Consider the following 27,978-nt stretch of genomic DNA (forward strand, 5'->3'; position numbering starts at 1 on the left):
TCTGCTATCTACTAGAAAAATCCAGATTTGTGCAGATCACAGTTCCACCCACTCATCAGCATTTCTCAGCTTTCTGCCCCCAGGACCCACTAATCATTTACAGCTTGTTGATGGTTATTTGAACCCAGGGTCAAGGTGAACACCCTCAGTTACACAACAAAAATGTATCAAGGTTTTGTTTAATCAATTGCGTGTGTTTCAGAAAGTCTGTATAAAATTCTCTGCAGTGGCAGATCATAGCAAGGGATGGTTTAACAAAATGAAGGCACTCATTGCAGCACTGCTTTTGATCACATTGCAGTATTCGTGTGCCGTGAGTCCCACTGACTGCAGTGCTGTTGAGCCGGAGGCTGAGAAAGCTCTAGACCTGATCAATAAAAGGCGACGGGATGGCTACCTTTTCCAATTGCTGCGGATTGCTGATGCCCACTTGGACAGAGTGGTGAGGAATTGCCAATGGCAGAGCTGAGTTGGGAGATTACTCACGGGGGCAAATGTGACTCTACCCCCTAGGCTTACTGCTTTGCACAATGAATGGCTTTGGTCAGAGTTTTTTGTTTGGCTTCTGCGGCTGCTCTAAATTGTTCTTTTTTCCTTCAAACTAATATTTGTTATTAGTGTACCCGCAACTATGATTCGATTTGTGGGTACATATAAGCATTTATGCTGAGCCCAGTTACATGCTAAGGACTGCCAGAGAAACATTAGAATAAGCTATGGGCCTTGGCCTCCAGGAAATAATAATACACTGGCACATACAGGCAAACAGTGTAAGTTACTAGGATAAACTAGAGAGAAGGAAAAGTTTTCTCAACCCTCCTAAGGCTCCTAACTGAGCCTGAAATAAAACTGGTAGACAAGGCCAGGCGCGGTGGCTCACGCCTGTAATCCCAGCACTTTGGGAGGCCAAGGCGGACGGATCATGAGGTCAGGAGTTCAAGACCAGCCTGGCCAACATGGTGAAACCCTGTCTCTACTAAAAATACAAAAACTAGCTGGGCATGGTGGTGCACGCCTGTAATCCCAGCTACTCAGGGGGTTGAGGCAGAAGAATCGCTTGAACTCGGGAGGCAGAGGTTGCAGTGAGTCGAGATCATGCCACTGCACTCCAGCCTGGGCAACAAAGCTAGACTCCATCTCAAAAAAAAAAAAGAAGAAGAAGAAAACATACAAATTTATTTAATCCAAGGTTTACCTGACACTGGAGTCTTCATAAATGAAGACTCAGATATCCAAAGAAACTGGCCACTTGCATACTTAGAATTCACAAAGGCTGTGCAGAATGCAGAAGTGTGATGGGACAAAAGGCTGTAATCTAAGAGTCATAGACTGAAAGAAGGACCCAGCAAGGCCTCTCTGTTTGAGTTCTTCATGGCCTCTCTGTGTGGCATTTCTTGCTCCCAAGTATGGGACAGGATCCCTTTGGAATGCGGATCTGAGGACCTACTATCAAACAGAGTAGGTCAGAGAATGTCTTTATGGCCAGCTCCTACAAAGAAAGACACAGGGGGAAGGTTAGATTCATATTTTAGGATTTATGGATGCTTTCGGGGAGAGGGATTCTACCATCTGTGACTGTCCTGGAGAAGAGAAATTTTAGTTTCTATGGCTTGCCTTGGGGGAGAAAGCAGAGTAGGAGAACAAAGGGCAGAAGGTCAGACAGATCTGGCTTCTGAGGCCCTTCCCATTTTCTTCAGTTCAAAGGACTCAGCACGCCAAAAGTACCATACTTTGAGATACCATGTTCTGAGCCCCAACAATAGCCAAGTGACCAAAGGAGTGGTAAATGTACTGGAGCAATTTAATGAGGGGAGATCTAGTAAGACTGGATGGGAGGAGGCTTCTGCTGTGTAATGATGCATGGGTAGGATTTGAACAGGTCTGGGTAAATGTGTTCCTGGTGAATTCCTGGCACCACCACTTCTAGGTGGGTATGGAATCAGGAAGAAGGGTGTTAGGGAGCCATTGAATATAAGCAGGTGGGTTCCAGAAGTTCCATGTGGGCTCTGGAGCAGGCATCAGGTAGGAGCCAAGCCTGTGGGCTTGTCTTGAGGTGAAACAAGCTTACTGTCTTCGCTTAGATTACACGCCTACCTAAACTGGACTAGAGGAGCCGATAGACATTATAGAGAGACATGAAGCCTGCCTCTAAGCTCCCCAAATAACCTACTCTCCCTCTGATGGAAAAACTGAAATTAGGGAGGCCAGACAAGGAGTACTACAGAGGACAATTTACCCTTCTGAAAGTATCACAGAGGGAGGCACTGTGGGTTGCAGAGAACAGGTGTGCAGGAGTTTAGGATTCAACCAGTAATTCAGTGACCATTAGTCCCATGCCAGGCTCATCAACACATGTTAGGGCATAGGATGCATCAGCACAGAGCTGCCTCTGAGAGCTAGCATAGAGAGCGGGTGGATGGGGAGGGGTCCTGATGTGCCTGGGGAAACTGAGGCAAGAGACAGGGACATGAAGTAGAAAGCTATTTATGTATTCAGGAATGAAAGAACAAGGGTCAGACCTGGGTTAGTGGGAGTCAGGGCAATGAGACTGAGGAATAGACATGAGAGACGTTGCCAAGAAAGACCATTCAGGGCCTGGTACTGGATAGCAAAAGCAAGGACAAGGAAAACATCTCGTAGGTTTACATGTTTTACCCCAGAGTCTAAGGCAATATGTTGTTAGTGGTGCCACTGACAAAGACGAGGGAAGTGGAGAGGGCAGCTAGTTTGTAAGAGAAGAGAGAGGATTTAGCTTTGGGCAAAGCAACATCAAAGCAGAAAATCCCATGATCAGTAATAGAGCTGGGCAAGAGGACACAACTACAAGGACAGATTGGAGGCCCTGATGAGGTCGTCATGACTTATACTTCCAGGCATGCGTAGGTGATGATGCCTCCGCTAAACCACCACTGCCGTTTAGTGATAGCTTCTTCAAGTTTATGGGCAGAAGACAAATCAGGACCACTTAAAAAGATTTGGAAATAACTCATTGAAGCTATGTATTGGAATCAATAGATCAAATGACGCAAAGGTAGAGCATCTGCAAAGACAGTGAGAGGAACAGGAATTCTGTTTAAGTAATAAATATATAGCTTTAATACATAAAAAAAAACCCGCTAGGTTTCCATGTGCTACTCACATGTTGCTTTTGGCATTCCTCAGGAAAATACAACTGTATATTACTTAGTCTTAGATGTGCAAGAATCGGACTGTTCGGTCCTATCCAGGAAATACTGGAATGACTGTGAGCCACCTGATTCCAGACGTCCATCTGAAATAGTAAGTAAAGAGGGCACCTTCACTCTGCTCTTTTCATTCTTATTTTCCATCTACTCTGTTCACTCAGCCAATGCCTGGGCTAACACAGTAGAAGAGAAAGGGCAGCTTTTGCCTTGAGATTCATGAAGATGATGTTAACCTTGAGCAATACTCTTGAGAGTCTTTCCTGGGAACCCAGTTCAAGACAACTCAGCAGGGTGTGTGGTCCCATCAAAGAGCATAACCAGCTGTGGGTCCTTGGGTAAATCATCTAATAACATCCCTCCACTTTGGTGTTTTTTGACTGTAAAATAAGAAGTGGGTTTAGGAATTCATGGACTCTAAGGGCCTTCCACTCTTGACAGTCTACAGGTATCAGAATCTATGAACTTGTAATTGTGTCCTATGAACAATGGTCCTATTTTCAGGAATGGCCAAAGTAATTACTTGCAGTGAGGAATTGGGTCTTGCTCAGCACCTAGGATATACACTGAGGAATAAGATCTGGCTTTGCATGTGGGAGGTGGGTATTGACATGCCAGGCTCTCTGACACAGGTGGAGAACATGAAGATGAATAAGCAGAGATTCAAGATTTCATTTCCAGAAAATGAGAGGTTCACACTCCTGGAACTTTCACCACTTTTTCCCTTGAAAATGTTTGGGGTATGGCCATGATGCTTTAAATAGTTTCTCGCTGGTTCTCCTGAGGATTTTGAGTGCCAACAGGATGCAGCACACAGAAACTGACTAAGAAAATGCAGGGTTTGAGACAAGCTTTGATGAAAGAAATGCATTTTTAAATGAACAGTAGGAGGATGTTGCATCACCTTTTTGCTCTTTCATATCTGACCTGAGGAAGGCAGGATGCAATGACTCAGCAAGTCCTCAAGAGCCTCTTTCTTACAGGTGATCGGACAATGTAAGGTAATAGCTACAAGACATTCCCATGAATCTCAGGACCTCAGAGTGATTGACTTTAACTGCACCACAAGTTCTGGTATGGTAATCTGTTAAATTGCTAATTAATTCTTGATTAATACAAATTCAATCATACAGTGGTATTTGTCTCATCTATGTACATATGTATTCATATATATTCAGATGTATTCATGTATATCTATGATGTACATGAAAGAAAAGCCTTCATAGACTCCATTATTATTCATTCTCCAGAGAATAGAATTGAGACAAATTTCCCTGGTACTGGTACACCTTCTTTTAAAGAAATTCAACACATAAAAATAGAGATTTAGGAGAGGTAGGTTAGCCTCATTATAGATATAGGCTTTGGAGTCAGGCTTGCTTTAGCTTGAGTCATCATCTGCCAGTTGTATAGTCTTGGGAGGAAGTAAAGTCTTGGGACTATGAAGTAAAGGTTATGACACTTTCTATTTAAGACAAAATAATTGATGCTCAAAGAAGTTAAATGACTTGGCCTCAAGAACAAAGCCAAGATATTGTGAAGATGTGACACAATCCCAGGAGTATTAACTCTAAATTCCACAGCTTTTTTATTTATTTATTTTTATTTTTGAGACAGAGTGTCGCTCTTGCTACCCAGGCTGGAGTGCAATAGTGTGATCTCGGGTCACTGCAACCTCCACCTCCCGGGTTCAAGCAATTCTCCTGTCTCAGCCTCCCAAGTAGCTAGGATTACAGGCATATGCCACCACATCCAACAAATTTTGTATTTTTAGTAGAGATGGAGTTTCTCCATGTTGGTCAGGCTGGCCTCAAACTCTTGACCTCAGGTGATCTGCCCACCTTGACCTCCCAAAGTGCTGGGATTACAGGTGTGAGCCACCACGCCCAGCCTCCATACCCTTTTAATTTACATTTTCAAATAGAATTATCACAGGATTCCTTTTTAAAATAGCAAATCCAAATATGATATTATATACAAAAATGCAAGATACTGCCACAGGAGTTTGCATTGAAGAAAGGATGATCTGTATCTTCTCCTCTCTCTGGGCAAAACTCTATGTTAATGCTCTGTCTTCCCCCTTGGCAACAACAGGAAGAACTTATTAAAATATTAGTGGCCTGGTGCGGTGGCTCACATCTATAATCCCAGCACTTTGGGAGGTTGAGGCCAGAGGGTTGCTTGAGCCCAGGAGTTTGAGACTAGCCTGGGCAATGTGACTCAACCCCATCTCTATTATTTAATATATATGTTAATATATATATCATATTAATACCTAAATATATGATTATATAATATAAAAACATATGATATATTATATAATATATAAATATATAATAGATATTATATAATAGATAATATATATTTATATATTAACGAATGTCATAGTTGTCATATTTATATATATATGTTAGCACTTTATCAGTGGTACTGGTGAAGGCATCATGAGTAGGGGTCACAACATAGACATGGGGATCAGAAAGACTCGAAGGAAGAATCAGCAGTTTAGTTCGGTTGCCAAATGGCTGATTGATCTTGAAGCAGTTACTCAGCTCTTCCCACCCTCAATTTGCCCATCCTTAAAATGAAAGTTATTGTCATTCTTGCCACCAAGCCACCATTAACATTTCCAGCCCTTTACTGTGACACTGCTATCTTCTTTCTCCAGTCTCTTCAGCACTGGCCAATACCAAAGATAGTCCGGTCCTCATAGATTTCTTTGAGGATACTGAGCGCTACAGAAAACAAGCCAACAAAGCCCTTGAGAAGTACAAAGAGGAGAATGATGACTTTGCCTCTTTCAGAGTGGACCGAATCGAGAGAGTTGCAAGAGTGGTGAGTCTCCACTAAGGTTCGGTTGGAGTCTGAAGGCCCAGGCTCCAACCTGGCAGCAGGAACTGAATGGCATACCCTCTCCACCTGCCTCAATTGACTAGCTGCCTTTTAATTTGTCACTTTTGAGGCCATAAAAGACAGGCAGCAGGTATTTAAAAAATACAAAAAAATTGCTTTCCTCAAACACTTTTTTTTTTTTTTGAAGGATGGGTAGGGGAGTAGACATCTGACAGAGTAGGGAGAAAATCTAAAGAGGAAACAGGGAAAGACAAGAACATATGAGGGTTGTGTCATTGCAAATCATCCAATACTAACATTCTTGTACTATGATGGAAAACTGAAGTTCAGAGAAATTACCTCACCACACCCAGTAATGTGCCTATAGTTAGATGGTTCCCTGCTCTCTCTACAAGGACCCAAGTACTTTCACCCAGAGCTGTCTTGTAGAGCAACTGGTTGACATTTGCTATGCATTCAGAAAATGCAGCGTTAAATAGATTGTGTTGCATACAAGTAAGGAAATGAGTACCATGCAGTTGCTCAAAGAATGTTTGGACCCATGCGCACTGGAGTTTGAAAACATATTGGTATAGGAAAATGCAGGTTATAGAACAGTACTTAGACTATGGACCCATTTATATGAAACACTTAGATCTCCCTGTGTATGTGTAACACATCTAGGAAAACACTCGAAGAGGAAACACATCAAATAAATGAGAATGAAAACTCTGGGAAGAAGTTGGAGTGCAGGAGAGGTGATTTTTCACACTCTACTTTATCATATATTTATTATTTGAACCTTTTCAGTGAACTGGTATTCACCTTATCACTTAGGTGATACATTTTTAAAAGGCAGAAACCATTTTAAAAAATGACACATACTGGTGATTTTGAATTCTCATACTGCCTTAAAAAATATTGAATGGTAGTTATCTACTGCTTTTTTTTCCTTTTTCTTTGTCTGTTCTTGAAACTATTTTGATCCCATCTGTTCTAGAGAGGAGGGGAAGGAACTGGTTACTTCGTGGACTTCTCTGTGCGGAACTGCCCCAGACACCATTTCCCCAGACACCCCAATGTGAGTATAAGAAATGTCTGTGATCGTTGACTAGAGTCACAGAGAAAAAAGAAAGAGAAGAAGGAGAAGGAGAAGGAGAAGGAGAGGAAGGAGAAGAAGGAGAAGAGGAATGAGAAGGAGAAAATGAGGAGGAGGAGAAGGAGGAAGAAATGTCTGTGAAATACAAAGTATCATCTGGGAAGCACTTAGTACCTGCCAGGCACTCTTCTAAGTGATTTACACATCAGATAACTTATTGTTTTGTTTTGTTTTTGAGATGGAGTTTCGCTCTTGTTGCCCAGGTTGGAGTGCAATGGCACAGTGTCGGCTCACTGCAACCTCCGCCTCCCGGGTTCAGGCGATTCTCCTGCCTCAGCCTCCGGAGTAACTGGGATTACAGGCATGCACCACCACGCCCAGCTAATTTTTGTATTTTTAGTAGAGATGGGGTTTCACCATGTTGATCAGGTTGGTCTCAAACTCCTTATCTCAGGTGTCCACCCACTTCGGCTGGGATTACAAATCAAAGTGCTGGGGTTACAGGCGCAAGCCACCATGCCCAGCCTATGATAACTTATTAACCCTCACACTACCATATGAGATAGATACCATTTTTAATCCCAAATTAGCAGATAGGGGAACTGAGGCACAGAGAACATAAGCGAACCATAAGAACATGATTTTATAATATACATGATATATACCTAAACTTAAAACTAAGTTTCTAACTGATTAGGATTAAAGGCTTAGTTAGAACTATAGCAGTTCGTACTAAGACCCTACGCCAAGTGGTTTTATTAATTCCACATCATCACACTCACAGGAATCCCACTTGACAAATGAGGAGGTAACTGAAAATCAGCAAAGGAAAGGTCTTGCCGATGTTCACAACCAAGCTGAGATTAAAACTTAGTTATTCTCATACAAAGTCCAGTGGGATTTTTCCTCTAATCATTTACAAATAGATTCCCATGTACCTGCCAGAAGACATTATTAATACCACCTGGCATTTGCATGGTGACCTACAGTTAAAGAAACACCTCCACATCTGTTATTGCCAGGAGAGCCTCATGAAAATCCTGCTGACAAGGAAAAGCAAGTATCTGCCTACATTTCCTGTGACAAGGGGACCTGAAATTAAAACCACTTACCTAAAGGCACTTAGCTAGAGAGTGTTAGGAAATGGAATTTTAATTATGATGCCAAGTCCAGGATTTTTCTGAGGTTTAACAACACATTCTCCCTGGTCAAAAGGGAGAAACCATCCATTAGTACCTTTGTTAGCTCTTCTAATGTCCACACTGAACCAGGTCTAGAAACCTTCTTAGCGCCCACCAGAAAAGACACCTCCCTCCCCTACTCCTATGGCCAACAAACCCTTCATGATCTTGGTGTGGATAATGTAAACCCAGAGTTGAAGCACCAGAGCTGAAGAGGAGGCTCAGGGGTAAGTGTTTTACAGCATCCTCTTGTTTAATTAATCCCTCCCACAACCTGTGAGTACATAGTATTATCCCCATTTTACAATGGCTGACTTTCAGAAATCTTTTGTAACTTTCCCAAACTCAGACAACTAGGAAATGGAGAAGCCAGGATTAACATAGGTCTCTCTGATTCCCAAACTGTACTCAGAACCTCAATGCTTAGCAATTTCTTCTAGCAGACAGCCGTCCTCTTGTCCTAGTCGATCTTTCACAGGTGGGTTTAGGAGCATCTGGAGCACAGGAGTGGCAGCCAGTTGTAGCCCTGGCACTTGGGTGGAGTCAGCAGACACTTGCCTTGACAATGTCCATGAAAACCCATCTTTATGCTATACAGATGCCCTCCTGTCCAACACTTTCCTCCAAGGGACCAGCTGAAGTTGTAAAAATCCCTCTTTGACACCATTCCTCATTGTCCTAGGCACAGGCAACTGAGGTCTCCAGTGCAGAAGGGTTGGCCTAAAGGCAAGGCAGCAATGATGTGGTTTTCCTCATCATTTCCATCACCCATGGGGAAGCCCAGTGCTGGTGCCTGCTCATGAAAAAAACCACAGCAACTTTAGTGATACCCTTCACCACCTGCACTTTCCCCAAAGTGTTAACAAGGAAAGATTGCTGAACGACTGGTGGGAATATCTGATCATATTACCCTGATTTTTCTAAAGCACTTCTTCCTTTTCTGAATGTCTGGAAGCTAACTCTGGCTGGTCATCTTCACACCACCTGGACACACACACTAACAGCTCCTCATTCCTTTGTAGGTCTTTGGATTCTGCAGAGCAGATTTGTTCTATGATGTAGAAGCCTTGGACTTGGAAAGCCCGAAAAACCTTGTCATAAACTGTGAAGTCTTCGACCCTCAGGTGGGTTGTCTAAGCAGACTTTGTCATGGCAGTGCCAGATTAAGTGACATACGTACACAAATAGTGTTGTTGCTTCCTAAAGCTCTATGAGTGGGTGTGTGTGTGTGTGTGTGTGTGTGAGAGAGAGAGAGAGAGAGAGAGACAGAGACAGAGACAGAGAGAGGGAGACAGGGAGAGAGAGAAAGAGAGAGACAGACAGACATGCAAGAAAAAAGATACAGAGAGTATCCCACAACTGGGGAAAGGAGTGCAATTGCCAGATTACACAAAAAGTATGAAAACTTTTCCAAGAATTGAAGAGGGGTAACAATTGGCAGAAAATTAAAATCATGTCCAATTCAACCAAACTTGAAGGAATTTGAAAATGCTCTTTGTAGTCGGGACTCTAGTGCTGAGACTTAGTCATTCCTAAGCTTATATTATTGGGCATAGAATCTAAGAGGAATATATCAGCCTCAAATTTATTATGTAAATGTATATAAAATAAGATGCAAAACCATATTTTGCATCTGTCTCAGAAATCTTTGGTCTATTTTTTACATGAGTACAAAGATTTGCTTCACGAAATTTTTCATATCAGAAACAAAACTTAAAATAATCCAAACATCCAATCCCAAGTTAAAAAAAAGAAAAAGGAACAAAGGGCAGGATTGTCACCATGAACATGGCTCTGTCTTTTTTTTTTTTTTTTTTTTTGAGAAGGAGTTTTGCTCTTATTGCCCAGGCTGGAATACAATGGTGCCATCTCGGCTCACCACAACCTCTGCCTCCTGGGTTCAAGCGATTCTCCTGCCTCAGCCTCCTGAGTAGCTAGGATTACAGGCATGCGCCACCATACCTGGCTAATTTTGCATTTTTAGTAGAGAAGGGGTTTCTCCATGTTGGTCAGGTTGGTCTCAAACTCCTGACCTTAGGTGATCCACCTGCCTCAGCCTCCCAAAGTTCTGGGATTACAGACATGAGCCACCGTGCCCGGCCTCTGTAGCTATTTTTTAAAAAATTAAACTCTGAACAAGGAAGAGAGAGAAGAGGTCAAGTGTTCAGCCTTTAGGAGTAAGGGATGTTGATACCATCAAGCCTCAGTTAAGAATATCAGTTATAAGGCACTAGTTTTCCAGTGTTGGTCTACAGATGGGTGCCAGGTCATAATATTGTTTCACCACTCTGTGTAGTAAAAATGAAAAAAAAATAAGGATAATGAAGTTTTTTATATCTAACATTTATCCATCTAAAGGACAATCCTTTACTCTGATATTGTGTTTCTGGCTCTTTCTTTTTTTTTTAAATCAAAATTTCATTCCAGGCTGGGCATGGTGGCTCATGCCTGTAATCCCAGCACTTTGGGAAGCTGAGATGGGTGGATTACTTGAAACAAGGAGTTCAACATGGTGAAACCTGTCTCTACTAAAAATACAAAAATTAGGAGTCTGGGCAACAGAGTAAGACTATGTCTCAAAAAAAGAAAAAAAAAAATTAGGTGGGCATGGTGGCTTGGGCGTGTAGTCCCAGCTACTTGGGAGGCTGAGGCAGGAGAATTGCTTGAACCTGAGAGGTGGATGTTGCAATGAGCAGAGATCGCACCACTGCACTCCAGACTGGGTGACAGAGCGAGACTCAGTCTCAGAAAAAAAAAATAGTTTCTTTTGTGAAACAATGATGGTGGTAAATGATAGTTATTGTTAATATTTTAAATATCAACTGGGCTAGATAACAATTTGAGAATCTTTTTTCGTAATACTTTTTAAATTGATTTGTGGAATCTATGATCTGGGAGCCATTGGTGTAAATCAAGTCAAGTATCTAACATCTTCTTTTATGTTACATGATGATAGGCACTTTTCTGTGACCTTTTCCAGGAACATGAGAACATCAATGGTGTACCGCCTCATTTGGGACATCCCTTCCACTGGGGTGGGCATGAGCGTTCTTCTACCACCAAGCCTCCATTCAAGCCCCATGGATCTAGAGATCATCATCATCCCCACAAGCCACACGAACATGGACCCCCACCTCCTCCAGATGAAAGAGATCACTCACATGGACCCCCACTTCCACAAGGCCCTCCTCCACTATTGCCCATGTCCTGCTCAAGTTGTCAACATGCCACTTTTGGCACAAATGGGGCCCAAAGACATTCTCATAATAATAATTCCAGTGACCTCCATCCCCATAAGCATCATTCCCATGAACAGCATCCCCACGGACACCATCCCCATGCACACCATCCTCATGAACATGATACCCATAGACAGCATCCCCATGGACACCACCCCCATGGACACCATCCTCATGGACACCACCCCCATGGACACCATCCCCATGGACACCATCCCCACTGCCATGATTTCCAAGACTATGGACCTTGTGACCCACCACCCCATAACCAAGGTCACTGTTGCCATGGCCACGGCCCACCACCTGGGCACTTAAGAAGGCGAGGCCCAGGTAAAGGACCCCGTCCCTTCCATTGCAGACAAATTGGATCTGTGTACCGACTCCCTCCTCTAAGAAAAGGTGAGGTGCTGCCACTTCCTGAGGCCAATTTTCCCAGCTTCCCATTGCCGCACCACAAACATCCTCTAAAGCCAGACAATCAGCCCTTTCCTCAATCAGTCTCTGAATCATGTCCAGGGAAGTTCAAGAGTGGGTTTCCACAAGTTTCCATGTTTTTTACACATACATTTCCAAAATAAAATGTGATTCCTTTGAAGAGGAAAATGAATAATACATTGAATTAGAAACATAAATAAAATGACCAGTAATTGTGAAAATTACAGTTCTTTTCAACCTACTTTCATACTGAAGATGCAGCAAAATGTGAATGGGAAAAGAGATGGCCTGAGAAGAGAGATCAAATGGAAAGGAGAGGAAAGAACTCAGTGCTGCCTATTAGTAGTTAATTCTGTCACTCACCACTACATCACTTGAGACAAATCTATGCCACTCAGAATCTCCTTCTTTCCTGGACTTAACTCTAATTCTAGAGTCTCTGTTACTGCTTGGGCTATACCTGGGCATACTAATAAAGTATGGTATTGAAACTATTGTTATCATTTATTTCATTTTATTTTCTAAGTTCCAGGGCACATGTGCAGGGTGTGCAGGTTTGTTATATAGGTAAAAGCATGCCATGGTGCTTTGCTGCACCTATCAACCCATCACCTAGGTATTAAGCCCAGCATGCTCTAGTTCTTTTTCCGAATGCTCTCCTGCTTCCCACCCTCCCCCTATTTATTATTATTAAAGTGACCTAAATTCTCTCCTCGTGATTATTACTAGGCATCTAAATTTTCTTTTGGAAAAATAAGTTCTAAATTCAGTATTGAAGCAAACAAACCTCTGGCTATAAATTGCAAAGAAGCTTGCTAACATGAATCATGACCATAAATTCAGGTGCATAAGAAATGTCACTTTATGCTCAGAACAAATTAATTTCTATTTGAGGATGCCATCCTACTGGCTTAGTGGAAATTTAACCCCAGTCCTTCTTGGAGTCCCCTTTCCCTGCCCTGCTACTTTCCACACAAAGTTGGGCCACAGTTCTAGGATCTCACACCATGCCAAGCTGTCCAGGTGGTAGGAAGCAGGATAGTGACTATCCCTCAGCCAGGGTGACTGTTGGACCAATGATCATCATCATGAGTGATAGCCATCCTGCTCAGGGATAGTCACAACCCTGTTCACATCACTCTTTCAGTCTGATTTATCTGCTACTTCTGTAGAAAACTGGGGGTGCAGGAATGTCTGTACACTAGCCATGGACATGACTGCCAAGGTATGGCATATGGCTGCTCTCTCCCTGGGATCTTGCTGTCTTCCCAGCTGCATGCCCAGAAAGCAGGGCAGAGATCTCCTCTGCCTCAGAGACCCCTTACCTCACTCTTCTCCCTATACCTTCTCCCTCAGCTAACGACTCTCTTGCTAGTCTCAGGTAAGTTCACTTTATTTATTTTTAGGGCCAGAAGACTTTTTCCACACTATACTCCTCTTTCTTTTTCCTCCTCAAATCAGGACTCAATCATTTGAAACAAACTAAAAGAATTCAGATTCTGTCTATCTTCCAACTGCAATAGTGATACTCAAAGTATTTCATAATCAACATGACCCAAGCACTGACCAATCAGACCAGAAACAACAACCTATCAGAACAGTCACCATCCATAAACAACCAGCGTGACCACACTGGCAGGTGCAGCTGAATGTGGCCCTGCAGAATCACATTCCTCCTGGAGGCATGGACACCAGGTCAGCTGCTTGAACAGGGAGAGGAGAAAGGTGAGACCCATGGAGGGCAAAAGATACAGAGGTTAATAACTCAGAATGTATCCTCCCACAGAAGCACTGGAGTAGGATTCAATAATTTACAAAGTACTTTCATAAACTTTGCTTGAGTTAATGAAAATATTCCTTGGAATACAGAGGAGTTGAAGCTCTCAATTCACTTCAGTTAAGGGCATTCTTCCTATGCACACCCGACACTGCGAGGGAATAATGGGATAAGAAACCATTCCCACCTCGGGATGGTACGTTCTACTAGAGGTTTTAGACAATACACCATGCTTTTCTAGACTTCTTTTTGTTTGTTTGTTTGTTTGTTTTCACAGAGTCTTGCTCTGTCGCCCAGGCTGGGGTGCAGTGGCGTGATCTCAGCTCACTGTAACCTCCACCTCCTGGGTTCAAGTGATTCCCCTGCCTCAGCCTCCCGAGCAGCTGGGACTATAGGCTTGCGCCAACACACCCGGCTAATTTTTGTACTTTTAGTAGAGACAGGGTTTCACCATATTGTCCAGGCTGGTCTCGAACTCCTGACTTTATGATCCACCTGCCTCAGCCTGCCAAAGTGCTGGGATTACAGGCGTGAGCCACCGCTCCCGGCTGCTTTTCTTATGTCATCCCAGCTAAAAAGTGTATCAGTATCTGTTTACAAATATTTCATAAACTTTCAAAGGTGACATTCACAGAGGCAACATAATTAATGCCTCTTCAAATGTCTAAAGCCCAAACTCTTCATTCTTCTCCAGAAAAGCTCTCCCACTTCCTAACATCAGCCTTTCTGTCAGTGGCAATACCATTCTTAAAATCCTTCAGGCTAGAAATATTTATTGATTTTCCCTTTTTCTTCATCCCCAATTTATGCTATAACAGAAAACACTTTGTCTGCTTTGTTCATTAAAGCACTTGCCACACAATAAGGGTTTAAGAAATGTTTGTATAATAAGCAGGTACATTAAACATTTACTATGAGTCTGAAGATACGGCTGATCACAGTGGCTCACGCCTATAATCCCAGCACTTTGGGAGGCTGAAACAAGTGGATCACTGGCCAACACGGTGAAACCCCATCTCTACCAAAAAATACAAAAATTACCTGGGCATGGAGGCTGAGGTGGGAGAAATACTTGAACCCGGGAGGCGGAGGTTGCAGTGAGCCAAGATTCCATGACCGCACTTCAACTTGGGCAACAGAGAAAGACTCTGTCTCCAAATAAATAAATAAATAAATAATAAAACTTAAAATTAAGTTGTTTAATATATTTTGTAATTTAATCTTTACCAACAGCTCTCTCATGCAGAAAATGTCATTGTATCAGAATAGGCCAGTTGCTGGAACAAACTCAAGTGGCCTAATGATGGAGAATTTGATTTCTCTTTCATGTTACAGGTCAATATGGGTTATCAGCAGATGGCCATCCAAATGGTGATTCAGGGTACCAGGCTCCTTTTGTCTGGGGGCTCTGCTCTCCCCTTGACCTCAGAATTGTCTCTTGGATCCTCTGCATCCAGCCCACATGGGGAGAGAGTGGAGGATCATGAAGGTGGTTTCTGTGGCCCAGGCCTGGAAGGTGCATGCATGATTCATGCTCACATTTCACTGCCTAGAACTCAGTCATATGGCCACACCTAATGCAAGGGAGATGGGGAAATGAAGTCTGCCTGTACTCCAAGGAGGAAAGGGACCTAGGTAGGGAAAACAGGCTGTACAATCAACCATTTCTTAGGGAAAGAAGAGAACCAAAGAGGCTGAATTACTTGCTTAGGATCTCGCAGTCAGTAAATGTGGGACTGGAATTAGAACCTTGATTGGCCTCCGCCAAAGCCACATGCTGTCTTCTTTATGACACTGCCGGTGATGGTGCCCAGGCCTGTTTCTGAGTCTTCACTGGAAACGCTTGCTGGTCAGCCGCTACCATTCTGGTCTACTTCCCCCTGGACAGTGCTCCCTTATGCATTTCTTCATCCTCCCAGTGTTCAGCTTCCACATTTCTGCTTCTCCTCCTTCCTCTCAACCTAAGAACTTCACAAAATCTCTTCCATTTTTCATATTTTCCACACAACTCCCCATTAAAATCTGCCTTCTCCCATGACTATGCACTTGAACCTATTTCAGTCAGGCAGGGATTCTTAGACACCTTTCCCTAGTATTAGAGATAGCTTAAAAGAACTAATCACCAGGTCCTGCACAGGAGTGAATTATTCACAGGAGTGAATAATTACCTCATTCACTCCTCAGAAACACCCTGTTAAGATATCATGATTTTCCACCATTACAGGTGAGAAACCTAAGCCTCAGAACATTTATGTGACCCTGTCTTCCTTGGGATCACCTAGGTAAGTAGGCAGAACTACATTAGAATCCAGGTTGGACTTACTGCCAAGTTCATGTTCCTGCCCCACCCCTACAATAGCCCCACTGGCTCCTATTGCCCCTTCTTCTCCAGGGACTCCAGGGAGAATCAGTTGGCAAGTTAGATTGGCAAGAGATCCTAACAGCAACAGAACTTCAATCTTTTATGCTTGTAAGACTTGAAGATACACGTTTACTACAGGAAAACACATGTCTCTAACCTACCTTTAAAATTCCTCTCTCCGAATAGTCTAACATTATGAAAAAGGTTGCTTAGGCTTGGTGAATGCAAAACACCATATCCACTGTAGGGGCAAAAAGTGCAATGCCCTTCCTCACCCATCCTCAGGGTCACAGCTGACTTACCTACAACAAACGACAGGTGGGCAAGAGAAAGCAGAGCATATTTATTTAATCCAAGTTTCTATAACATGAGAGCCTTCAGAATGAAGGCCCAAAGACCCAAGGGACAACTGCCCATTGCTAAGCTTAGATTCCATGAAGACTGGACAGCAGCGTGATCCAACAAAAAAGAAAAGATATGATAGTAATAGACTATCGGGGAAACCCCACAAGGCCTTCAGTTGGAGTTCTCCATTGGCCTCTCTGTGGCATTTCTTGCTCCCAGTTATGGTGCAGGACCCAATTGGCATGCAGATCTTAGGACCTACTAGCAGACAGAGTAGATTAGAGAATTTATTTTATGGCCAGCTCCTACACAGAAAGGCCTGGATGAAAGGTGAGAGTCATATTTTAGGTTTCATGGCTGCTTTGAGACAGAGAGATTCCTCTTTCTCTGACCTGCCTGTTGGAAGAGGAATTCTAGTTTCTATGGCTTGCCTTGGGAGAGAAAGGGGAGTAGGAGGACAAAGAGTGGGAGCAGGTCAGACAGTTCTTGCTTCTGAGGTCCTTTTGGTTTCCTTCAGTTCAAGGGGCGCAGCATGCCAAGGCACAATACTGTGGGGTATCCTTTTTTGAGCCCTAAAATATTCAAGTGAACACAGGAGTGGTAAATGTACTGGAACCATCTAATGAAGGGAGATCTAGTCGGATTGCGTGGGAGAAGCCTTCAGCCAATGTATTAGTCTGTTTTCACACTGCTGATAAGGACAGATCTGTGACTGGGCAATTTACAGAAGGAAGAGGTTTATTGACTTACAGTTCCACGTGGCTAGAAGGACCTCACAATCATGGTGGAAGATGAAAGGCATGCCTTACATGACAGCAGACAAGAGAAGAGAGCTTGTGCAGGGAGACTCCCCTTTTTAAAATCATCATATCTCATGAGACTTATTCACTATCATGAGGATAGCACAGGAAAGACCTGCCTCCATGATTCAATCACTTCCCACTGGGTCCCTCCCACAACACATGGGAATTCAAGATGAGATGTGGGTTGAAACAGAACCAAACCATATCATTCTGCTCCTGGCTTTCCCCACATCTCATGTCCTCACATTTCAAAACCAATCACGCCTTCCCAACAGTCCCCCAAAGTCTTAACTTATTTCAGCATTAACTCAAAAGTTCAAAGTCCAAAGTCTCATCTGAGACAAGGCAAGTCCCTTCTGCCTATGAGCCTGTAAAATCAAAAGCAAGTTAGTTACTTCCTAGATACAATGGGGTTACAGGCATTGGGTAAATACACTCATTCCAAATGGGAGAGATTGGCCAAAACAAAGGGGCTACAGGCACCATGCAAGTCCAAAATCCAACAGGGCAGTCAAATCTTAAAGCTCCATGATCTTTGACTCCATATCTCACATCCAGGTCATGCTGATGCAAGAGGTGGGTTCCCATGGTCTTGGGCAGCTCTGCCCCTGTGGCTTTACAGGGTACAGCCTCCCTCCCAGCTGCTTTCATCAGCTGGCATTGAGTGTCTGTGGTTTTTCCAGCCACACGGTGCAAGCTGTCTGTGGATCTACCATTCTGGGGTCTTTAGGATGGTGGCTGTCTTCTCGCAGCTCCACTAAGTGGTGTCCCAGTAGGGACTCTGTGTGGGGGCTCTGACCCCATATTTCCCTTCGACATTGCCCTAGAAGAGGTTCTCCATGAGAGCCCTGCCCCTGCAGCAAATTTCTGCCTGGACATCCAGGCATTTCCTTACATTGTCTGAAATCTAGGTTGCAGTTCCCAAACCCCAATTCTTGACTTCTGTGTACTCACAAGCTCAACATCACATGGAAGCTGCCGAGGCTTGAGGCTTCCACCCTCTGAAACCACAGCCCAAGCTCTACATTGGCCCCCTTTCAGCAATAGCCGGAGTGGCTGGGATGCAAAGTATCAAGTCCCTAGGCTGCACACAGCATGGGGAACCTGGGCCTGGCCCAGGAAAACACTTTCTCCTCCTAGGCCTCCAGATCTGTGATGGGAGGGGCTGCTGTGAAGACCTTTGAAATGCCCTGGAGACATTTTCCCCATTGTCTTGGGGATTAACATTTGGCTCTGCAGCTGGCTTGGATTTCTCCTCAGAAAACGGAATTTTCTTTTCTATTGCATTGTCAAGCTGCAAATTTTCCAAACTTTTATGCTCTGCTTCCCTTACAGTACTAAATGCTGGCCAGGCACGGTGGCTGATGCCTGTAATCCCAGCACTTTGGGAGGCCAAGGCGGGCGGATCACCAGAGGTCAGGAGTTTGAGAGCAGCCTGGCCAACATGGTGAAACCCCGTCTCTACTAAAAATACAAAAATGATCTGGGTGCAGTGACAGGCACCTGCAATCCCAGCTACTCCAGAGGCTGAGGCTGGAAAATCATCTGAACCCAGGAGGCAGAGGTTGCAGTGAGCAGAGATCATGCCATTGCACTCCAGCCTCTTGAATGCTTTGCTGCTTAGAAATTTCTTTCGCCAGAACCCATCATTCTCAGCAAACTAACACAAGAACAGAAAACCAAACACCGCATGTTCTCACTCATAAGTGGAAGTTGAACAATGAGAACACATGGACACAGGGTGGGGAACATCACACAGTGGGTCCTGTTGGGAGGCGGGAGGCAAGAGGAGGGAGAGCATTAAGACAAATAACTAATGCATGCGGGGCTTAAAACCTAGGTGACGGGTTGATTGGTACAGCAAACCACCATGGCACATGTATACCTATGTAACAAACCTGCACATTCTGCCCATGAATCCCAGAACTTAAAGTAAAATAAAAATTTTTTAAAAAGAAATTTCTTCTACCCAATGCCCTAAATCACCTCTCTCAAGTTCAAAGTTCCACAAATCTCTAGGGCAGGGGAAAAATGCCACCAGTCTCTTTGCTAAAACATAACAACGGTCACCTTTGCTCCAGTTCCCAACAAGTTCTTCATTTCCATCTGAGACCACCTCAGCCTGGACTTTACTGTCCATATCGCTATCAGCATTTTGGGCAAAGCCATTCAACAAGTCTCTAGGAAGGTTCAAACTTTCCCACATTTTTCTGTTTTCTTCTGAGCCCTCCAAACTGTTCCAACCTCTGCCTGTTACCCAGTACTAAATTCACTTCCACATTTTTGGGTATCTTTTCAGCACTGCCCCACTCTACTGGTACCAATTTACTGTATTGATCTGTTTTCATGCTGCTGATAAAGACATACCTGAGACTAGACAACTTACAAAATTAAAGAGGCTTATTGAACTTACAGTTACACGTGGCTGGGAAGAACTCACAATGATGGTGGAAGGTGAAGGGCACATCTCACATGGTGGCAGACAAAAGAAGAGAGCTTGTGCAGGGAAACTCCCCTTTTGAAAACCATCAGATCTCATGAGATTTATTCACTATCATAAGAATAGCATGGGAAAGAGAGCCCCCATGATTCAATCACCTCCCACCTGGTCCCTCCCATAACACATAAGAATTCAAGGTGAGATTCGAGTGGGGACAGAATCAAACCATATCAGCCAGGCAGTGATGCATGGTAGGAAATGCAATAGGAAGAGGGTCTGGGTAAAGGCATTTCTGGTGAATTCATGGCACACCACTTCTAGGAGGGCAGGGAATCAGGAAGAGGGGTGTTACGAGCCATTGAATACACACCAAGGGATTGCAGAAGGTCTATGTGGGCTCTGGAGCTGCCATCACATGGGAGGAGAGACTGTGGACTTATATTCAGGCAAAGCAAGCTTACTGTCTTCACTTAGGTTATTTGCCTACCTGAAGTGGATTTGAGGGGCTGATGGACATTATGGAGAGAAGCCTCCCTCCTCCATCCTGAAATAAGCTACCCTCCCTTTGGTGGAACAATTGAAATCAGGAGGACAGACCAGGAGTACTACAGAGGGCAAGCAGAGCAATTCACCCTTCTACCCTTCTTAAAGTATCAGAGAGGGGGGCATTGAAGGTTGTAGAAAACAAGAGTGCAGGAGTTTAGGATTCATCCAGTAATTCAGTGACCATTAGTCCCATTCCAGGCTCGTTGACACATGTTAGGGCACGGGATGCACCAGCACAGAGCTGCTTCTGAGAGCTAGTGCAGAGAGTGGGTGGGTGGGGAGGCAACCCAATGTGCCTGGGGAAACTGAGTCAAGAGACAGGGAAATGAACTAGGAAGCTATTTTATGTATGCAGGTGTGAGAGAATGAGGGCCAGACACAGGCAGTGGGATTCAGAGCAATGAACATGAAGAATAGACAAGAGAGACATTGCCAAGAAGTCTATACAGGGTCTGGTACTGGATAGCAAAAGCAAGGACAAGGAAGACATATTATAGCCTTACACTTTTTAACCCAGAGTCTAAGGCAATATGTTGTTAGTGGTGCCACTGACAAAGACAAGGGAAGTGGAGAGGCAGCTGGTTTGTAAGAGAAGAGAGAGGATTTAGCTTTGGGCAAGGTGACATCAAAGCAGGAAATCCACGATCAGTGATAGATCAGGGTGAGAGGACACAACTGCAAGAACAAACTGGAGGCCCTGATGAGGCCGTCATCACTTATACTTCTCAGTGTGTCCCTTCAACACTTCCACCAAACCACCACTGCCATTTAGTGATAGCTTCTTAAAGCTCAAGGGCAGAAGAAACATCATGACCACATAAAAAGAAGATTTGGAAATAACTCATGGAAGCTATTTATTCAAATTAACACATCAAATGACACAAAGGTAGGACATCTGCAAATATGTGGAGAGCCGTGAGAATTCTGTGTAAGATATAAACATGGACATTACCTTTATTAAAAAAAAAAAAAAAAGAATTGGGAGGCCAAGGCGGGCAGATCATGAGGTCAGGAGATCAAGACCATCCTGGCCAACATGGTGAAAACCCATCTCTACTAAAAAATACAAAAATTAGCTAGGAGTGTTGGCACGTGCTTGTAATCCCAGCTACTTGGGAGGTTGAGGCACAAGAATCGCTTGAACCCAGGAGGTGGAGGTTGCAATGAGCTGAGATCGCGCCATTGCACTCCAGTCTGGCGACAAAGTGAGACTCCATCTCAAAAAAAAAAAAAAAGAAAGAAAAAGAAAAAAAAAAGAAAAGAAGAAAACTGGACTGCCACATGCTACTCACGTGTTGCTTTTTGCATTCCCCAGGAAAATGCAACTGTGTATTATTTAGCCTTAGATGTTCAAGAATCTGACTGCCGGGTCCTATCCAGGAAACACTGGAATGACTGTGAGCCTGCTGTTTCCAGGCGTTCATCTGATATGCTAAGTAAATAGGGCACCATCGCACTGTTCTATTCATTCTTACTTTCCGTCTACTCCATTCACTCGGGGCAGCCAATGCCTGGGCGAACATAGCAGAAGAGAAAGGGCAACTTTTCCCTTGAGATTCATGAAGATGATGTTGACTTTGAGTGATAACCTTGAGAGTCGTTCTTGGGAACCCAGTTCAAGATATCTCAGCAGGGCTGTGGTCCCATCAAAGAGCATGACCAGCTGTGAGTCCTCGGCCAAATCACCTAATAACATCCCTCCTCGTCAGGGTTTTTGATTGTAAAATAAGAAGAGGGGTTTGGAGTTCATGGACTCTAAGGTCTTCCGCTCCTGATCATCTATGAGTATAAGAATCTATGAACTTATAATTGTGTCCTAGGAACACTGGTCCTATTTTCAGGAATGGTCAAAGCGACATGTTGCAAATTATGAGGGGACACGTGAGGACTCGGGTCTGCTTCTGTGCTTTCCTCATACACTGAGGAAGAGCGTTTCATTGCGTGTGTGGGAGGTGGGTACTCAAATGCCAGGCTCTCTGACACAAGTGGAGAAGATGAAGATGAACAAGCAAATATTCAAGACTTCATTTCCAGAAAATGAGAGGTTCACAATCCTAGGAGTTTCACCACTTTTTCCCTTGAAAATGTTTGGGGTATGGCCATGATGCTTTAAATAGTTTCTCTCTGGTTCTCCTGAGGATTTTTGGTGCCAACAGGAAGCAGCACACAGAAACTGACTAAGAAAACGCAGGTTTTGAGACAAGCTTTGATGAAGGAAGCCCCAAATGCATTTTAAATGGACAGTAGGAGGATGTTGCTTCCTTTTGCTCTCTCATATCTGACCTGAGGAAGGCAGGATGCAATGACTCAGCAAGGCCTCAAGAGCTTCTTTCTTACAGGTGATCGGACAATGTAAGGTAATAGCTACAAGACATTCCCATGAATCTCAGGATCTCAGAATGATTGACTTTAACTGCACCACAAGTTCTGGTATGGTAATTTGTCAAATTGCTAATTAATTCTTGATTAATACAAATTCAATCATACAGTGGTATTCATCACATAATGCCATAAAGTACATGAAAGAAAGGGTCCCTGCCCTCGTGGACTCCATTACTCACTCTTCAGATGGTAGAAGGGAGACAGGTTTCCCTGGTACTGGTACACCTTCCTTTAAGAAAATTCAGTACATAAAATTAGAGATTTGGCTGGGCGCGGTGGCTCACACCTGTACTCCCAACACTTTGGGAGGCCGAGGCTGGCAGATCACCTGAGGTCGGGAGTTCAAGACCAGCCTGACCAACATGGAGAAATCCCGTCTCTACTAAAAATACAAAATTAGCCAGGCGTGGTGGCGCATGTCTGTAATCCCAGCTACTTGGGAGGCTGAGGCAAGAGAATTGCTCGAACCCGGGAGGCAGAGGTTGCAGTGAGCCAAGATTGCACCATTGCACTCCAACTTGGGCAATAAGAGTGAAACCCCATCTCAAAAAAAAAAAATAGAGATTTATGAGAGGTAGGAGAACATCATTACAGACATCATTACAGAGACATAGGCTTGGGTCAGACTTGCTTTAGTTTGAGTATGAACCTCATCACTTAGTAGCTGTGTAAGATTACACAAGAGGGCAGTTACTTAAACTTTTTAACCTTTTATCACTTGTAAAATGAGGATAGTAACAGCATTAGCTTTCAGGATTCTTGTTAGAATTGAATAAGATGCTCCATGTAGCACACTTTGCAGATTATTCTTAGCACTCAATAAATATTGACATCAATGTTTAAATGTCATGAATAGCTCTACAATTTACAAAGCAATGATACCTGTTATCTCATTTAATCTCCCAACAAGGTAATAAAATGTAGATTATGATACTGTCAACTTATGAAATAAATAATTGTGATTGGAAGAGGTTTAATGATTTGCCCTCAGGAACACAGCCAAGGTGCGATGAAGATAAGACTCTATACCAACAGTGTTGACACTAATTTCCATGCTCTTTTTTTTTTTTTAACTTTTTAAAAAAAGAATTATCACAGAATTTTTAATGGCAAATTTCACTATGATTCTATTTACAAAAATTCAATAGGCAAGCTACTGCTGAAGGAGGTTGTTTTAAAGAAAGACTGTGTATCTTCTCCTGTCTCTGGGCAAAATTTTATGTTAATGATACCTTCTCCCTTTTGACAAACACAGGAGGACTTCTTTAAAATATTAGCACTTGATGAGTGGCAGTGGTGGAGGCATCACGAGTAGGGGTAACAACTGAGACTCGGGCATCATAGGAAAGGAAGGAAGGATCAGCAGTTCAGTTCTGTTGCTGGTTGGCTGATTCATCTTGAAGAAGTCACTTACATCCCCCAACCTTCCATTTGTCTATCTGTAAAATGAAAGTTATTGTCCTTCCTTCCACTGAGCCCCCATTGCCATTTTCAAACCTTAACTGCGACACTGCCATTTTCTTTCTCTAGTCTCTTCAGCATTGGCCAATACCAAGGATAGTCCCGTCCTCTTAGATTCCCTCAAGGATACCGAGCTCTACAGAAAACAAGCCAACAAAGCCCTTGTGAAGTATAAAGGAGAGAATGATGACTTTCCCTCTTTCGGAGTGGACCAAGTGCAGAGAACTGCAAGAGTGTTGAGTCTCCACTAATATCCAGCTGGAGTCTGAGGGCCCAGGCTCCAACCTGGCAGCAGGAACTGAACGACACCCCCTCTCCACCTGCCTCACTGGACCAGCTGCCTTTTCATCTGAGGCCCCCATTGTAGCATTTGGAGGAATGAAAGCCAGGCAGCAGGTACCGCTCTCCGGGAAGAACTGCTCTCCCGCAATTTTTTACATTTTTTGGAGGATGTCGGGGCAGTGTGTATCTGTTAGAGAGGAAGGAAAACCCAAAGAGGAAATAGAGAAAGACAAGAGCATATGAGGGTTGTGTCATTAAAAATCATCCAATATTAACCTCCTTGCACTATGATAGAAAACTGAGGCTCAGAGAAACCTCACCACACCCAGTGGTGTGGCTGGAATTAGACAGTTCCCTGCTCACTCTACAAGGACTCAAGTGCTCCCACCCAGAACTGTTTTCAGAGCAGCTGGTTGATGTTTGTCATGCATTCAGAAAATGCAACAGTAAATCAATTGTGTTGCATATAAGAAATGAGGACAGTAAAGTTGCTCAAAGAAAATTTGAACTCATGTGCATTTGAAAGAGTTTCAAGACATATTTTTATAGGAAAATTTACAGAACAATATTTAGAAAAGAGTGCAAATGCTAATATCACACAAAAGTATAAAAACATTTCCAAGAATTGGGGAGAAATAAGATTTGGCACAAAAGTAAAATCATGTCCAATTCGATCAACCTGAATGAATTTGAAAATGCTCCTTGTAGTCAGGACTCCAGTGCTGAGACTTAGTCATTCCTAGCTTTTATTATTAGGCACAGAATGTAAGGGGAATAAATTAGGCTCAAATTTATTATATAAATGTATATAAAATAAGATGCAAAACTATATTTTACATCTGTCCCAGAAATCTTAGTTCTATTTTTTACATGAGTACAAAGATCTGTTTCACGGAATTTTTTATATCAGAAACAAAACTGAAAATAATTCAAATATTTATATCCCAAGTTTAAAAAAAAAAAGAAAAGAAAAGAAAGAAAGGGCAGGAAAGTCACTATGAACATGGCTCCACAGATTTTTAAACATTACACTCTGAACAAGGAGGAGATGGAAGAGGTTAAGTGTTCAGCCTTGAGGAGTAAGAAATGTTGATACCATCAACATTCTCAGACCTCTGTCGAAAATATTAACTAGAAATTACCAGTTTTCCAGTTTTCCAGTGTTGGTCTACGGATGGTTGACATTACATAATATACTTTTGCCACTCTGTATTGAAATGGAAAAACAAGGATTTTCAGACATTGCAGACAAACTGGATCTGTGTAGCGACTCCCTCCTGTAATATTTTTGTATCTAGCATTTATTCCATCTAAGGACTATTCTTTACTCTCACATGGGCTTCTGAGGTTTCTATGGTTTTCCTCACCTTTGTTATCTTTTATCACTCATTTTGTGAAACAGTGATGGTGGTAGGTGATAGTTGTTGTTTATGTTTTAAATATCAATTGGGCTAGATAACAACTTTAGAACCCTTTTTTTTATCCTACTTTTCAAATTCATGTGTGGAATCCAAAATCTGAGTGCCATTGGTCTAAATCCAATGTCTAACTTCTCTTAGAAGTTGAATGTCTAGCTTCTCATTGTGTGTTACATGATAATATTTATTTTTCTGTGTCCTTCATCAGACATGTACGATCATGAATTGCGTGCAACCCCATTTGACCTATCCGCTCCATCCTGGTGGGCGTGAACATTCTCCGATTGCCAAGCCTCCATGTAAGGATCCTTGCCAAGCCCCAAGGATCCAGAGATCATCGTCATCCTGAGAAGCCACATGAACACGATGCCCACTTCCAGTAGATGAAAAAGGTGACTCAGACATTAACCACTTCAAGGGGGGGCTCCTCCACTATTGCCCCTCAGGGTCCAGATGCAACCATGTTTCTTCTAACATGATTGGAACACAAAGTTACTCCCATAATCATAACTCCAGTGAGCTTCATCCTCATGACCATCATCCCCATGGACACCATCTCCAAGGACCCTGTTCCTATGCACACCACCACCATGGCCGTGATTGCTTTGACGATGGACCCTGTAACCCACCACCCTATAGCCAAGGTCCCCAAGGTCACCATTGCCATTGCCACGGCCCACCACCTGGGCACTCAGAAGGACGAGGTCAAGGTAAAGGACACTGTCCCTTCCATTGCAAACTGCATCTGTGTACGGACTCCCTCCCGTAAGGAAAGGTGAGAAGCTACCACTTCCTGAAGCCAATTTTCCCAGCTTCCCATTGCTGCATGATAACAACCCTCTAAAGCCAGACATTCTGCCCTCCCTCAATCTGCCTCTGAATCATGTCCAGGGAAGTTCAAGAGTGAGTTTCCAGAAGCATTCAAGGCTTTTGGACATACATTTCCCAAACAAAATGCAATTCTTTTGATGGGGAAAAATGTATAATAGTTTGAATTAGAATAATAAATTAAATGACCAACACTCATGAAAATCACTGTTCCTTTCACCTTACTTGCATACTCAGGATGAAGCAAAATATGGATGGGGGTGGTGATGGCCTGAGATAATAGATCAAATGGAAAGGAGAGGAAAGAGCTCAGTGCTGCCAATTAGTAGTCAATTCTGTCACTCGCCACTACATCACTTTAGGAAATCTATACCCCTCAGAATTTCCTTCTTTCCTGGACTGAATGCTAATTCTAGAGTCTCTGTTACCGCTTGGGCTATACCTGGGCATAGCAAGAAAATATGGTGCTTAAACTATTATTAAAGTGACCTAAATTCTCTCCTAGTGATTGTTTCTAGTCATCTAAATTTCCTTTAGGAAAAATAAGTTAAATTCAATCATGAAGCAAACAAACCTCTGGCTATAAATTGCAAAGAAGCTTGCTAGCATGAATCATGACCATAAATTCAGGTGCACAAGAAATGTCGCTTTATGTTCAGAACAAATTAATTTCTATCTCAGGTTGCCATCCTATTGGGCTAACAGGAAATTTAACCCCAGTCCTTTTTGGAATTCCCTTGCTCTGCCCTGCTACTTTCCACAGTTGGGCCACAGTTCTAGGATCTCACACAGTTGCCAAGTGGTTCAGGTAGTGGAATCAGGAGGTCAGATCCTTGATCATTGGTCCAACAGTTGTCCCTGCTGAGGGATAGTCAGGACACTGTTCACATCACTCTTTGAATCCAGTTTATCTGCTACTTCTGTAGCAAACTGTAAATGCAGGAGTGTCTGTACCCTAGCAATGGACATGACTGCCAAGCTATAGCACATGGCTACTCTCTCCCTGGGATCTTGCAGCCTTCCTGGCTGCGTGCCCAGAAAGCAGGGCAGAGGTGTCCTCTGCCTCAGAGACCCCTCAACCCACTGTTCTTCTTCTATCTTCTCCCTCAGCTAAGGACTCTCTAGTCTCAGGTAAGTTCACTTTATTTATTTATAGGGCCAGAAGACTCTTTTTTTCACTCCGTAATCTTCTTTCTTTTTCTGTCTCAAATCAGGGCTCGATCATTTGAAACAAGCTAAAAGAATTCAGATTCTCTATACCTTCCAACTGCAATGGTGATATTCAAAGTATTGCATAACCAATGTGAAACAAGCACTGACCAATCAGACCAGAAACAACAACCGATCAGAACAGCCGCCATCCATA

The 27,978-nt window shown here is 43.2% G+C and overlaps 1 protein-coding gene and 1 pseudogene across 2 annotated transcripts, besides 1 other annotated feature; both read left to right on the forward strand.

Moving 5' to 3' along the window:
* On the forward strand, positions 242–12,462 carry HRG (histidine rich glycoprotein). Of its 2 annotated transcripts, none has more exons than XM_005247415.5 (7): positions 242–442; positions 3,163–3,279; positions 4,166–4,256; positions 5,851–6,017; positions 7,015–7,095; positions 9,317–9,418; positions 11,251–12,462. In XM_005247415.5, the coding sequence occupies exons 1-7, from the start codon at positions 260–262 to the stop codon at positions 12,109–12,111; spliced, it is 1,602 nt and encodes a 533-aa protein (XP_005247472.1). In that variant the 5' UTR covers positions 242–259; the 3' UTR covers positions 12,112–12,462. The 2 variants fall into 2 exon arrangements, with proteins under 2 accessions (XP_005247472.1, NP_000403.1); NM_000412.5 differs by having other exon boundaries at positions 11,275–12,462.
* Positions 3,164–4,363: an enhancer, noted in NCBI's record as "BRD4-independent group 4 enhancer chr3:186386725-186387924 (GRCh37/hg19 assembly coordinates)". NCBI's record gives its function as "activates an origin of replication core promoter dependent on BRD2, P300/CBP, MED14 and CDK7 cofactors, and independent of BRD4, by STARR-seq in HCT116 cells {active_cell/tissue: HCT116}" and the evidence as "EXISTENCE:reporter gene assay evidence [ECO:0000049][PMID:35650434]".
* Positions 21,556–26,931, forward strand: HRGP1 (HRG pseudogene 1; annotated as a pseudogene).
* The last annotated feature ends 1,047 nt before the right edge of the window (positions 26,932–27,978 follow it).

Source organism: Homo sapiens, chromosome 3 (assembly GCF_000001405.40).
Source record: "Homo sapiens chromosome 3, GRCh38.p14 Primary Assembly".
Taxonomy (NCBI): domain Eukaryota; kingdom Metazoa; phylum Chordata; class Mammalia; order Primates; family Hominidae; genus Homo; species Homo sapiens.